Source organism: Homo sapiens, chromosome 16, assembly GCF_000001405.40.
Source record: "Homo sapiens chromosome 16, GRCh38.p14 Primary Assembly".
Classification (NCBI taxonomy): Eukaryota; Metazoa; Chordata; class Mammalia; order Primates; family Hominidae; genus Homo; species Homo sapiens.
In genome coordinates this window covers 53,841,633-53,856,359 of record NC_000016.10, presented here as the reverse complement: position 1 = coordinate 53,856,359, position 14,727 = coordinate 53,841,633, and the positions used below count along the sequence as shown (strand labels likewise).

The 14,727-nt window shown below is 37.3% G+C and overlaps 1 protein-coding gene across 25 annotated transcripts in view; it reads right to left on the bottom strand.

The window, feature by feature from the left end:
- Window positions 1-14,727, bottom strand: part of FTO (FTO alpha-ketoglutarate dependent dioxygenase) — a 417,979-nt gene that overhangs the window by 265,582 nt on the left and 137,670 nt on the right. For 23 of the 25 annotated variants that reach the window (XR_007064911.1, NR_156761.2, XM_047434606.1 and 20 more), the window contains one exon: window positions 12,062-12,205. The exons of the other annotated variants lie outside the window; for them this stretch is intronic. Coding sequence is in view for 21 of the 23 variants with exons in the window: in XM_047434606.1 (XP_047290562.1) it covers window positions 12,062-12,205 (144 nt within the window). In the remaining 2 variants the exon portion in view is untranslated. The remainder of the gene's footprint in view (window positions 1-12,061; window positions 12,206-14,727) is intronic. 25 annotated transcript variants of the gene reach the window in all.

The window sequence follows — 14,727 nt, the reverse complement described above, 5'->3', positions numbered from 1 at the left end:
AAAAGATGTTTATTGGGCTTAGATTACAAAGTCTAAGGAACCTTCCAGCATGAGGTATATAGTCTGACCTTGAAACGTGCTGCTGGGACTGACTAGATGAGGAAAGTCAAACTCATTCCCGGCCTAGTCCTAAATTCGAACCTTCAATAAAGATCGACTGAAAAAAATAATGGCATCATTCACAGTCATTCTTCCACTGTCTTTACAGGAGTGGCAAATAACACACACAGGATATACAACCTACATAAAGGCCTAAAAAAAAAAATTTTCTATAGCTCATGCCTTTGGGAATTATGTTCAATAGACAGGTGGCCAAAGAGGGCATATGAAGACTGTTAGCCAATGGGAAAAATTCCACCACCAAACTCAGATGCAGAATTACCCCAAAACAGGGTGACTCTAATTGAATGAAATATGAGAGAACAAAAAAATTTCAAAATGCATAGTAAAACATTCCTCCTCAGCCTAAAAGAAACCAACACATTATTTTTATCTTTGATGGTTTTCTTATAAAAAAATTTAGAAGGGAATGTACAGATGGATCCAGATACTGTGTCTCTTTAGAAAGTTCTGTGATGTCACGTGGTTAGTTAGACTAGATGTAAGGAAAAGAAGCATGAGTTACTGTGAAAAAGAATAGGCTGCCATGGAAGATTCTAAATTCTGTCTCTGGTAATCTCCAAGCATTAGGTGAATGGCCATCTGTTTGAGAAGGAATTTCAAAACCTTTCCCAGGCAGGGGCTTTCAAGGATAGAATTAATACTTCCTTTTGCTTGTATAACCAAGACACACTACCATGAAATGAAAAAAAAAAGCCAGTTCTTGGTTCATTCATTCACTTATTAGTTCAACAAATACTTAGTAAGCACCAGCCATATTCAAAGTACTGTGTTAGGTGCTGTACAGGATACAAAGCTAAAACAGTCCTTGCCTGGAAGAATCTAAAATATGGTATAATTTTTAGAAAATTTAAATATAACAGAATTTTTAGAAAATTCTAAGAAAGAGAAATACAAATGATCCAAGTAAAAGTGGAATTGGCAGGAAGTCCCAGCCAGAGCAACCAGGCAAAGGAAAGAAATAAAGGGCATCCAAATTGAAAAGAGGAAGTCAAACTATCTCTGTTTGCCAGTAATATGATTGTGTAGGTAGAAAATCCTAACAACACTTCCAAGGACTCCTAGATTTGAAAAACAAATTCAGTAAAGTTTTGGGTTACAAAATCAATGTACACAAATCAGTAGCACTGCAATGCACTAACAATGACCAAGCTGAGAATCAAATCAAGAACTCAATCCCTTTGATAATAGCTAAAAAAAATAATAATAATAAAGTACCTAGAAATAAACTTGACCAAGGTAGTAGAAGATCTCTACAAAGAGAACTATAAAACACTGATGAAAGAAATCATAGATGACACAAATGAATAGAAATACATCCCATACTCACGGATTGGAAGAATCAATATCATGAAAATGACCATACTGCCCAAACAAATTTACAGACTTGATGCAATTCCTATCAAAATACCAATGTAATTTGTCACAGAATTAGAAAAAAATAATCCTAAAATTCATACAGAACCAAAAAAGAGCCTGAATAGCCAATGAATCCTAAACAAATAGAACAAATCTGGAGGCATCACATTATCTGTCTTAAAATTATACCACAAAGCTGTAGTAACTAAAACAGCATGGTACTGGTATAAAAGTAGATACACAGACTGATGGAACAAAATGGAGAAGCCATAAATAAAGCCAAATACTTACAACTAACTGATCTTCGACAAAGGATATACTGGAAAAGGGACACCCTATTCAAAACAGTGCGGGAACATTGGATAGCCACATGTAGAAGAATGAAACTGGATCCCTGTGTCTCACCATATACAAAAATTAACTCAACATGGATTAAAGACTTAAATCTAAGACCTGAGCCCATAAAAATTCTAGAAGAAAACTCTTTCTAGACATTGGGCTAGGCAAGAATTTATGAATAGGACCCCAAAAGCAAATGCAACAAAAAATAAATAAACGGGACCTACTTAAACTAAAAAGCTTCTGCACAACAAAATAAATAATTATCAGAGTAAACAGACAACCTACAGAATGGGAGAAAATATTTGCAAGCTATGCATCTGACAAAGAACCTATAAGGAATCCAAACAAATCAGCAAGAAAAAAAACAAATAATCCCACTAAAAAGTGGGCAAATGACATGAATAGACATTTCTCAAAAGAAAATATACAAATGGCCAATAAACATATGAAAAAATGCTCAATATCACATATCATCAAAGAAATGCAAATTAAAACCACAATGAGATATCACCTTATCCTAGCCAGAATGACCATTATTAAAAAGTCAAAAAATAATAGATGTTGCTAGAAATGTAGTGAAAAGGGAGTGCTTATACACTGGGGGTGGAAATGTAAATTACTACAACCTCCATGGAAAACAGTATGGAGATTTCTCAAAGAACTAAAAGTAACTCTACCATTTGACCCAACAATCCACTGCTGGGTATCTACCTGAAAAAGAAGTCATTATATCAAAAAGATATCTGCACGCATATGTTTATTGCAGCACATTTCACAATTGCAAAGATATGGAATCAACCAAAGTGCCCAACAACTGTTGAGTAGATAAAGAAAATGTGGCATGTATATATACCATGAAATACTACTCAGTCATTAAAAAAAATGAAATCATGTCTTTTGCAGCAACGTGGATGAAACTGAAGGCCATTATTCTAAGTGAAGTAACTCAGGAATGGACAAACAAATATTGCATGTTCTCACTTGTAAGTGGGCACTAAGCTATGGGCACATGAAGGTGTAGAGAGTGGTACAATGGACACTGGAGATTCAGAAGAGAGGAGGATGGGAGGGGGGTGATGGATGAAAAAAAAAACAAAACACTTATCAGATGTATACTACTCAGGTGACAGGTACATTAAAATACCAGACTTCAACACTATACAAATCATCCATGGAACCAAAAACTGCTTATATCCCTAAGGCTACTGAAATTTAAAATACATTTTTTTTTCTTGAGACAAAGTCCTGCTCTGTCACCCAGGCTAGAGTGCAATGGTGCGATCTTGGCTCACTGCAACCACCGCCTAACAGGTTCAAGGGATTCTCTGGCCTCGGCCTCCCCAGTAACTAAAACAGGCACTAGGACTACGGGTGCCTGCCACGACACCTGGCTAATTTTTGTATTTTTAGTAGAGATGGGGTTTCGCCATGTTGGCCAGGCTGGTCTCAAACTCCCAACCTCAGGTGATCCGCCCGCCTCAGCCTCCCAAAGTGTTGGGATTACAGGCGTGAGCCACCGCACCTAGCCTAAAATGATTTTTTAATGGAATTGGCAAAGGTGTCCAATGAGAAGAAATCCCAGTATGATAACTGTGGTAGGTGGGGTATGAAGAAGCCAGTGTTTATCAAACACTGAACAAGTCACATGACGAAACATCTAGTGATATTGAGCAATCATTATAGCATGCTTCTTCTATCAGTAAGAGTAAAAAAAAAGACGAATATAAGTCTCCAGGGGGAGAGGGAAACTATGCAACAAAGTCATGATTCAAATACAAAGCAAGCTAAAATGTACATAATTTTGAGCTTTTGATTAAGTATAAAATCTTGACCTGACATGTGCAGTATTCTTCATTCATTGGCGCAGGTTGGATAGTTACAGTAGATTACATTTTCTACCTATTAATTCCATCACTCTATCTCATTTTGCAATAAACAACACTTACATCAACATCATTATGTACTGGCTTTCTAATTTCAGATCAACTTATAAGCGTGCTTGTCTTATCAAAATTACAGATCTGTATGTAAAGTTGTAAACCTCAATCATGTCAAAGTAATGACATGGCTGAAAGAGAACTTTAATTCCCCACATTACACACTAAAATTCAAGAGAAAGTATCTATAAACTGGTTCTAAGGAAAGTAATTAAGGAAATAAACCCCTAAAAGTAAAGGTTAACTAGCCAAATTTGGCAAGAGTGAGAGGTAGTATCAGAGCACTAATTCCATAATTCTTTTTTCTTTTTCTTTTCTTTTTTTTTGAGACAAGGTCTTGCTCTGTCACCCAGCCTGGAGTGCAGTGGCGCGATCACAGTTCCCTTTAGGCTCAACCTCCCGAGCTCAGCTGATCCTCCCACTTCAACCTCCCAAGTAGTTGTGACCACGGGTGTTTGCCACCATACCTGGCTTACCTGGCTTTTTTTTTTTTTTTTTTTGTATTTTTTGTAGAGACAGAGTTTTGCCATGTTGCCCAGGCTGGACTCAAACTTCCGGGCTCCAGCAATCTGCCTGTTTCTGTCATTCTTAACTGATCAACAACCAAGAATGCTTAAAGTTATTAAAGAAATAAAAGTACAAGTATATATATGTTTAAGGGTTAGGGAGGTAATCAAAGAATAAAACGCAAATACAGTGAAAAGCAGTTACCTCTAAGGGATGGAACTTGGGGATAGGTGGAGTTTTTCACTTTCCATTTTAGATCTTCCTCAACTTTCCATTTTAAATCTTTCAATTTTTATTTCCTTGTGCATGTAGTATTTTTATAATAACAATAATAATATGAATGACATACTGACATAAAAAAATTTCCAGCACATATTATGTACAAAAAACAAACACTAGAGTAATATTTATAATAAAGTATCATTTATGTTTTTTAAAAATACAGCAGCAGCAACATATATTTAAATATGTCAACATAACTATCTTTACGCTAACACTTACAAAGGACCAGATGGGAAAGCAAGGGGAAAGAGAATGTCTACATTTTATTTCATATAGTTCCACAAAGTTTGAATGAGAATACATGTGTGTTCATGTATTATTTCTCCAATTATTTTTTTTCCTTTTTTTTTTTTTGAGACGGAGTCTCACTCTGTTGCCCAGGCTGGAGTGCAGTGGTGCAATCTTGACTCGCTGCAACCTCTGCCTCCCAGGTTCAAGTGATTATCATGCCTCAGCCTCCCGAGTAGCTGGGATTACAGGTGCACGCCACCACACCTGGCTAATTTTTTTTTTTTTTTTTTTTTTTTAGTAGAGGTGGGGTATCACCATGTTGGCCAGGCTGGTCTCAAACTCCTGACCTCAAGAGATCCGTCCGCCTTGGCCTCCCAAAGTGCTGGGATTACAGGCGTGAGCCACCGCACCCAGCCATTTTTTCCTACATTTTTAAAGAAAAAGGATACCGTGGCTATATAATTAGTAGAGATAGCATGCGTCAGTGGAAGAAAGAATAGCTTTGGTCTCAGAAAAATTTGGACAAAAGCTTTACCAGGTAGTGTCATATTGAACAAGATATTATACTTCTCTAAGCTTTAGTTTCTTTTTTTAAAATAGTTTTATTGAGATCTAATTCATGTACCATACAATTCACTCATTTTAAATATCTAATTCTCCTTTGAGCAAAAGCTGCAAAACGAAGAAAAAAGAAAGTATATAATTCAATGTATTTTAGTACGTTCAGAGATGTGCAACCATCACCACAAACTAATTTTAGAGCATTTTCATAGCCTTAAAAGCAGCCCTGTACCCATTAGCAATCAATCTCCATTAATTTTTTTTTCTGGAAAAAAAAAGTGAGTGTCAGAATGAGAGTCTACTATGTAATAGTCCTGTAATAAGGAATAAACAAAAATATATCAAATCTGCCAGCACAATGCCTGGACCTTAGTAGGCACTCAAGACATGCATTTCAGGTAAAGTTCAAGACACAAATGATAGAGAAATGAGCAAAAACCTGGATGTAACAAAAAAGTGTAAGAGGTAAATAAAGCCTTTCAAGTACTCAGGAACCTGCTCAGATCCCTATCCTTAGAGTAAATTCCATAAGTCATGACCTTCTCCCTATTAAATAAAAATTTAAAAAAAATCAGATATCAAGTAAAAAAGCACAAGCTTGAAAATGTCAGTATTTGGGGGCATATTTTAGAGTGAAAGTTTCAGGAGGAGAGATACATCCTCATCCCTGGAAAAAAAAAAAAATTGAACACAAGAAGCAAACAGTGCAGTTCCTGAGAAGATAACAAGAATGCCAGAAGTTCATATTGGATAGGCAGTGGAAACTATACTGTCATGTTTCTACTTTTCAAAGTGAAAATAAACATGACAGGTGCTCATTTGGCTGTTCAAGCACTTTCCACTTAAATAGCAATTCCTCCAGCTTACCAACTGCAGCCTGAAGTTATAATTTATTACTGGTTTCTGTATTATTCCCTTGCCTCGGCAGAAAGCAGAACATAGCACCTACATTTCAAGACCCATGAGAGGTAATAAAGTATAATTATTTTAAATTTATGATTAAGCCATAAATTATGTGTACTTTTTACTTTAGCTGGTCATTCAGAGGTTGGTGAGGAAGGGAATGGGGTCAGAGAAAGAAATAACAAAAGCTTTTTCCTTTGAATAAAATGTCTAAATCAGGGCAAAACTGAGGGACACCTGGAGGATTTACAAAGATACCACAGTTTCCATGTTCAGTCCCAAGGGAGCCCCCGCTTAAGAGTCTAAACTCCTGGAGACCTCTGTTCTTCCTGCTCACAGGGCTACAGACTCCAGTGGGAGTGGCCATGTTGAGTCAAAAAACAGAAGCATGGCAATTTACAGTTTAGACCACATCAAATATTTCTGTGCTCTGGGTCTTGCTGCCTCTAAGCCATAGGTATTTCAAGGAAGGTGAACTTAATCTATAAAAAACTACTGGCCAGGCTCTAAAAGTAAAGCTGGCCTCCACCAAAGTAAGACTGATTACTACAGGGCTCTGATAACCAATGGACCAGATATTAATTCTCCTCACCCTCAAGAATCCATTGGTAAAACTTCCCTTTCTTGTAGTTCCTATATGTAGCAAATATACGTATGGAATGGTATTTTGTGAAGGTGACAAAACTCTGGGCATGAAGCAGGATACGAACACAGCATTCAGCATTCTTCTATCACCCAGTCGTCTCACTGGTTCTCCAATATGCCATGGTCCAGTTCCCACTCTTCACAAGTCTGCACTTACAAATTATAGCTTGCAAAGCCTATTCCCATACATTTTCTTATTTGTACTCCCAAAAACTCTGAGAAGGAAGTATCATTAAGCTCCCATTTTACAGTGAAGGCAGAGACTAAGAGAGGCACTAGCAATACACAGGCAATTGACAATGCGGTGAGTCTGGGACCTGGTTACCTGATAGAAATCCTATGGTCCTTTCACAACTCTACCCTAAACTGTTGACAAGGTAAAGAAAAACCAAAAAAGAAGGGCTATGCATTTACATTTCTATTGCAGTTTTCTTTTTTTGCAGTGGAATTTTTACCTGGCAACTTAAGTTTTGAAACTGCTGATTGGTATAGTAACAACAAATACTTGAAAGTGAGATTTAGTTGTGCTTAAGAAACAAATGTAAATAGAGCAGAGAGAACAGAGTCATGAATGGTGACATGTAAAGAATAACAATAACAAATTAAGGGAGGAAGAGAGGGTTTTTGCCCCAAATGTTTACCTAGCACTCACCTTTGTCCTGAAACATCCCACCTCCACACCCAGCTCCTGGTTAATAAACATAATTGTGTTGATGTCCCTTGAACTGTATAATCTGTTCCACAAAAAACAAACCCATGGTTTGTCTCCAAGCCACTTTTAAGTCCCTAACTCCCTGGTTACATTCAGTCTATGGAAAACATCTGTGGCAAAGTAAATCATCCTACTCTGAGAAAGACCAGAGTGTATTTTTTTTTCTCTGAGTGTGTTTTGAAGTCCTGGTTGGAAAATTAGTGAAAATTGTAAATCTGTTTGCAAATCTGGTCATGTCTAACTCTGAGATTAGGGCAAAGATTCCAATTTAAAAGTAAAACCGTGACAACCTTAGTTAAGCATGTCCTCAGGCACTGCCAACAAGGCCTTCACTCACTTCCATGGGCAGTGGATTTATTACAGGCACCCGACACGTTCCCCATCAGACACCCCTGGAGTATTTACTTGAGACAGCAGGGTTCAGCCTGCACTTCCTCTGCAGACCAATATATTATTATAAATTGAGCTAAACTGTTTCCTTTTCATAAGTGCTATGAAGTTCAGATTTCAGATATCAGCACGGGGCCGAAGTCCCTCCCTCTACGGGGCTCCTTGTGCTATTTGGATTTAAAAGTAAAGAGAAAAGGCAGCATTAGACCATGGTTGCTTTTACTTTTGACTTTTTAAAAAAAAGAGATGAAGGAAGATTCATTTCAGAAATCAAATAAAATAAAAATAATAAATCCTAATAAAAATATATATTCTAAGTGCAGACTTTGGGATATATTGTGCTGTGTTTGGCACAGTTCAGTAGGATACCAACTATATCACCTACATCTAAAAATAAGACATGGGAAATCAAGAGTAGATTTTATATTATGTCTTGGATATCAGCTCCTATAAAATAATGCTAACTTCTTCTGTTTATCATGTACAATAGCTCAAGGGACCCAATGTATATTTTACAGTGTATACTCATTATAACACCAAAATCCAATGAATAATGTCATTATTTAATATTTTCATTAAAATACAGCGCTTTTTTTTTTTTTGAGATGGAATTTCCCTCTTCTTGCCCAGACTGGAGTGCAATGGCGTGATCTCGGCTCATTGCAACCTCTGCCTCCCGGGTTCAAGTAGTTCTCCTGCCTCAGCTTCCAGAGTAGCTGGGATTACAGGCATCCACCACCACACCCGGCTAATTTTTGTATTTTTAGTAGTGACAGGGTCCCACCATGTTGGCCAGGCTGGTCTCAAACTCTTGACCTCAGGTGATCCGCCCACCTCAGCCTCCCAAAGTGCAGGGATTACAGGTGTGAGCCACTGCGCCTGGCCTATAATCCAGTTCTTAAACCCTGAGAAACCCATAACCTTAAGAAGAACAGAAAAGAAACAAACAGAATATCATTAACTTCTTTTCTTCCCTTCCTGAACAATTTAGTCTTAAAGCCATTAGGTGAGGCGGAGGCATCATGCCAGGTGGGAAGAAGAAGGCACAGGAACCCTGAGCAGCGTTCAGCGCTGAGTAGGGTGAGGAGGGCATCCCTACGGGAGAAGGAGGGCTGGCCTGACATGGGATGTCAGACCCCGAGTGGGATAAGATGACAAGATACAATCCATGCTTCTTACTAGCTGTGCAGCCACGGTTAAGTAACTACATAAATTTAACCTCAATTTCCTCTTTTGCAGTATAGCTAATATTTGTTTCTCAGGATTGCTGAGAAGATTAAAAGAATGTTTGTCATTAATTCCCAGTAAATCTGGTTTTATTCATATTACTACTATAATTCCAGACATACATATACAGAAAAAGACTGAAAAGAAATATATTAAATCAGGCATTAACCTGATTTTTATATTCTTTCTTCATTTCAGACTCTTTTTTCCAGAGTTTCTTTTCTCTCAAATAAGCACATATTGCTTTTTTAATCAGAAAAGAACACACAAGATGTTATTAAATATATGGAATATAGCTGAATTTTTAGAGTACTTATTTACTTTTTTTTTTTTTTTTTTTTTGAGACTGAGTCTTGCTCTGTTGCTCAAGCCGGAGTGCAGTGGTGCAATCTCAGCTCCCTGCAACTTCCACCTCCCGGGTTCAAGCAATTCTCATGCCTCAGCCTCCCCAGTAGCTGGGATTACAGGCACGTGCCACCACACCCAGCTAATTTTTTATTTTTAGTGGAGACGGGGGGTTTCATCAAGTTGGCCAGGCTGGTCTTGAACTCCTGACCTCAGGTGATCCACCTGCCTCGGCCTCCCAAAGTGCTGGGATTAGAGGTGTGAGCCATAGCACCCAGCCACTTTTATATTTTTAAAAAGTAAAAGCTATTTTAAAAGATAACATTCTGGCTCTTATTTCTTTGAAAGATATACATTGCTAATAGAAACTTCTGAACAAAGTATCCAAAGGAAAGTGATTTACTGGCTGATACTAACATCTATTAAGACTCAGGCCAAATATCTGTATTTGCGTGGTACAAAAAAAAATGAAACAATGTTTACCTACAAATGACACTCAATGATGGGGTAGGGACTTTAAAAAATAAACTTACTTCCTGAGATCAGGCAGGAGAGACAGTGGGGAAGAGAGAACCTTAACACTGAAAACATTCCCACATAGAGATTTCAGTATATTGGGATCAGGTTGAAATAGCCCCATTTAGAGTAGGAAAAGCACTGCATAAGATGCCTGCCACCCATTCTGGTCCCTGTTCTACCTCATAACTAAGTGACTTTAGGAAGATCACTTAAAAAAAGAACAATCTCTGCCATCTCCCTCACAAAGCTGACAGGAGATTGGGGCTGCTTGTGTGAAACTGATGTGTAAACTGCAAAGCAATGTTCACATGGAAGGCAAGAGATGAAGGGCATACTTAGATCAGTGTTCAAGAAATGCAGGAATCTCCCCATGAGAAGAATTTAAGAGGTAAAGGGACATCACATTAAGTGCCATTAAATCACACTATTTGAAAGAGACCCTACATAATGATCTCCCAATCCTCCTGCAGACATTAAGGAGAAAGTCTCAGACTGGTACCACTATACAGTTAACACCTCTCTGTTACTAATCTCCTCTTTTAACAAACACAGAATAGGACTCAGACTCAGGATCTCCGGCAAACAAAAGTAGCAGGCCCTTAGTACTGTTTTGGTTTCTCTATATTTATATTTCTAAAGCCCTTCTAATTATACCTAGTGATACTGGATTCCCATTTAAGATAGTGATGTAAAATCTCCTTTTAAAATAAATTCAATTCAGTGAAAGATTAAAAGTTACTTTATTTAGGCAGAAGTACATGATTGTGACCAAAACCTTGAAGTTCATAGGCAATGAGCTAAAATTTGGAAAATGCTTAGTGGCAGAATGGCCTAAAGAGCTATTCTGTACTCCGAATTCCCAAAAGGCAAGAACCAAGATTCATCCACCTCCAATATCTCCCCTGGAACCTTACACAGTACCTGGAACATAGTAGACTCTAAAATACCCAATTAACTGGGAATCAACTGTTATCATAAATACTGGGCTTCAGCCCTGGTTCTTCCTGGCTCCAAAAGCAACATATGAGTAGATTTCTCCAGGTAGATAGGAGTGAGATAAACCCCAAATAATCAGGAACAAGAGCCAAGTAGAGAATAAACCCTGAGAAGCTTTGTGAGTAAAAAATGATACTGTTTACACATTGCGCATTAGAAAACAAGTAGAAAGTCCAAAAATAAAATTAAAAACTTACAGCAAAGAAGAAAAAAACAAAGCCTCACAAACTCCACAGCTTCAGTTGGCCTAACCACAACTGAGAAACTGCTTCCCAAAGAACTAAATGACAAGTCGAGAGAAAGGCCCCATTGTCAGGTCAGCTGTTCCTGAGAAGAAACAACATTCAAAACTAGAAGAAAAAAAAAAAAAACTCTCACTACTAAAAACTAATACGGACAGGAAAGTATTTTTTAAAGTTATAATTTGACTTGGATGATTTAATATCTCTGATAAAGAATCCAGAAAATTGTTTAGCATATTTGAGGAACTCTGCATCTATGTAGAATAAAAAGAAAAACAACTTTTAATTGGGCCGGGCATGGTCCTGTAAATCTCAGCACTTTGGGGGACCGAGGCAGGTGGATCACCTGAGGTCAGGAGTTTGAGACCAGCTTGGCCAACGTGGTGAAACCCATCTCTACTAAAAATACAAAATATTAACTGGGTGTGTTGGTGTGTGCCTGTAATCCCAGCTACTTGGGAGGCTGAGGAAGGAGAATTGCTTGAATCCAGGAGGTGGAAACGGCAATGAGCAGAGATTGTGCCACTGCACTCCAGCCTGGGCAACAAGAGTGAAGCTCCATCTCAAAAAATCAGCAATATCTCAAAAAAGAAAAACCTAGTTACATGTTCTTATAAAGAAGTTTCGCTCTTAATATAAAATACTCCAAAAGTTTATTTCATAAGACATACTCAAAATATAAATCCTATAATCTAAATTTAGACACTAGAGTTTCAATATAATTTTGATTTTCCAAAGATTACCAAGCATGAAATAGCAGTCTCCTTGGTGAAGGGGTATCGCCAAACCAGGTGTCTCTATGTCCCATGAGATCTTAAAACCAACATGCCAAATATCAGGATCCCTGCCTTCGAGATGAGAGTCATCCTCACTTTCCTCTTCAGGGCCTGCCAAAAGAGAAGAAAATGATCAGAAAGGAAATGTTTAATCTAAGCTTCTGAATTTTATAATTGTTATTTTAGAAAGAATTGATATTTTAATAAAATATGAATATTAAATGAAATATATCTTCCCTTTATGTCATATTTTTAAAAAGATATTCTAGGTTATTTTTAACATGTCATTAATTTTTTCATCAAGAAACCTTAAATAGGCCAGGTGTAGAGGCTCACGCCTATAATCCCAGCACTTTGGGAGACCAAGGTGGTAGATCACTTAAAGTCGGGCATTCAAGACCAGCCTGGGCAAGAAATCAAGACCCCCATCTCTATTAAAAAAAAAAATTACTTTTTAAAAATAAAAAACAGATGTAAAGAGAAATTATGTTCTTAGGAAATAAGACTGAACATCACAGAAATGTCAGTACTTTCTAAATTCATCTAGAAATTGGACATAATATAAATAAAAAGACCAAAGGGATCATTTTTTAGATGAATGGGGTTAGTAACTAGAAAAGCTGTTTCTATAATACACATGGAAATATAAACAAGCAAGAACAGCCAAGGAATGTTTTTCTAAATATATAAAGAGCAACTATACATCAGTAAGATAAAGGCCAATAGACAAATTTAAAACTGAGCATGTTATAAAGGCACAATACATAAAAGGAAATAAAACTAGCTCATAAACATATAAAAATATGTTCCAATTTATTCACATAAAAGAAATGCATGTTAAAGCCAAAAGAGAGAAATTTTTTCACCTATCAAAACAGAAAACATCAGTTTGAAAACAACACAGTGTTAGTAAGAGTACAGTAAAATGGCACACTCACACTCTCTGTAGAGGACAATTTGGCAATACTATCAAAATTACAAACGCATAAGCTCTTTGACTCTTATAGAAATTACACTTTTAAGAATGTATACTAAAAGTCCTACATTCAGGGGTTGTAAAATGACTGTTGAGCAAGTATATTTATTGTAGTATTGCTTGTAAGAGCAAAAGATCAGAAATTACTCAAATGTTCATCAGTAGGTTTCTGGTTAAATAAATTATGATCTCTCCAGACAATAAAATACTATGTAGTCACCAAAAATAATATGACTATATACAGATATGGAACTATCTAATATATTTTCAGAGAAAAAAATAAATAGGCTATACTCATATAGAAAACAAAGTACAGACTGGGCGCAGTGGCTCACACCTCTAATCCCAGCACTTTGGGAGGCCAAGGGAGGAAGATTGCTTGAGCTCAGAAGTTCGAGGCCAGCCAGGACAACATGGTGAAACCCTACCTCTACAAAAAGTAAAAGAAATGAGTGGGGCATGGTGGCACGTGCCTGTGGCTCCAGCTACTCAGGAGGCTGAGGTGGGAGGATTGCTGGAGCCTGGGAGGTGGAGGCTGCAGTGAGTTGTGATAGCACCAGTGCACTCCATTCTGGGCAACAGAGTGAGGCCCTGCCTCAAAATAAATATAAATAAATAAATATCAAGCACATATAGTATTTCTGGAAGGATACTCAAGACTGATTTTTCTGGAAGGATAATAATATAATATTTATAATACTTCTGGAAGGATACACAAGACTGGAATACAACATTTCTGGAAGGATACTCAAGACTAGTTTTTCTGGGGTACAAGAGTGGGAGATACACTAAAAAAGGTAGAAGGTATACACACTATGATTTGCCTATAATCACAGCCCTGCAGGAATAACTCTACATAAAAACTTTTAAAAGTTAATTTAATAATTATTTATTGAGCACTTACTATTTACTGGTCATTGCACCAGGCATGTGGGATATGTCAGTGACTGAAACAAAGAGCTATGCCCCACTGGAGCTTCTCCTTTTAGTGGAGCTGTAAATGTGCATCACTGATTACCATGAAGGGGACATTTTAAATTGAAATTCCATCACACTTTAAACTGCTGTACTAGACTCTGATCTTCCAGGGCAGAGTCTGTTTTTCTATTTCATCCACAATTATAGCCCTAGTGACTGGCACAGAGAAGGCATTCAATGAACACCATGGCTTGCTTAAACAAAATGTTCTTTTAGTTCACTCCATTCACAGTCCTTGTGCTAGATGGCAGGGAAAGAAAATGTTAATTTGGAAGAAAAAAACAAAAATGCCTCAAATTTACAACCAAAGGACATAAGAAAGCATGGCATTGCTGCTAAACTAGTACAGTCCTCAGTACTAAAGAAGTTTAGAGAGGAGAGAGGTTCAACGACAGAACTAGAGCAGAACTCTTAGAGAAGGTCAAACGTGAAAGACAACAGTGTTTAGACTGGCAGAGGGTAAAATGAGAAGTAATGCAGGAAGACAAAAAGATGCAAAGCTTTCAAAATGCACAATAAAGCATGTTTTCCCTGGGCTGTATCATGTATATATCACATAAACAATTTAAAAAATACATGCATCCCAGATGGCACACACAGAATCCCTAAATTCTGAATGTCGTACTCTACCGCCAAATGTGCAGAAGGGTCAAAGGCAGTGAAAGGAAGGAAAAAAAGA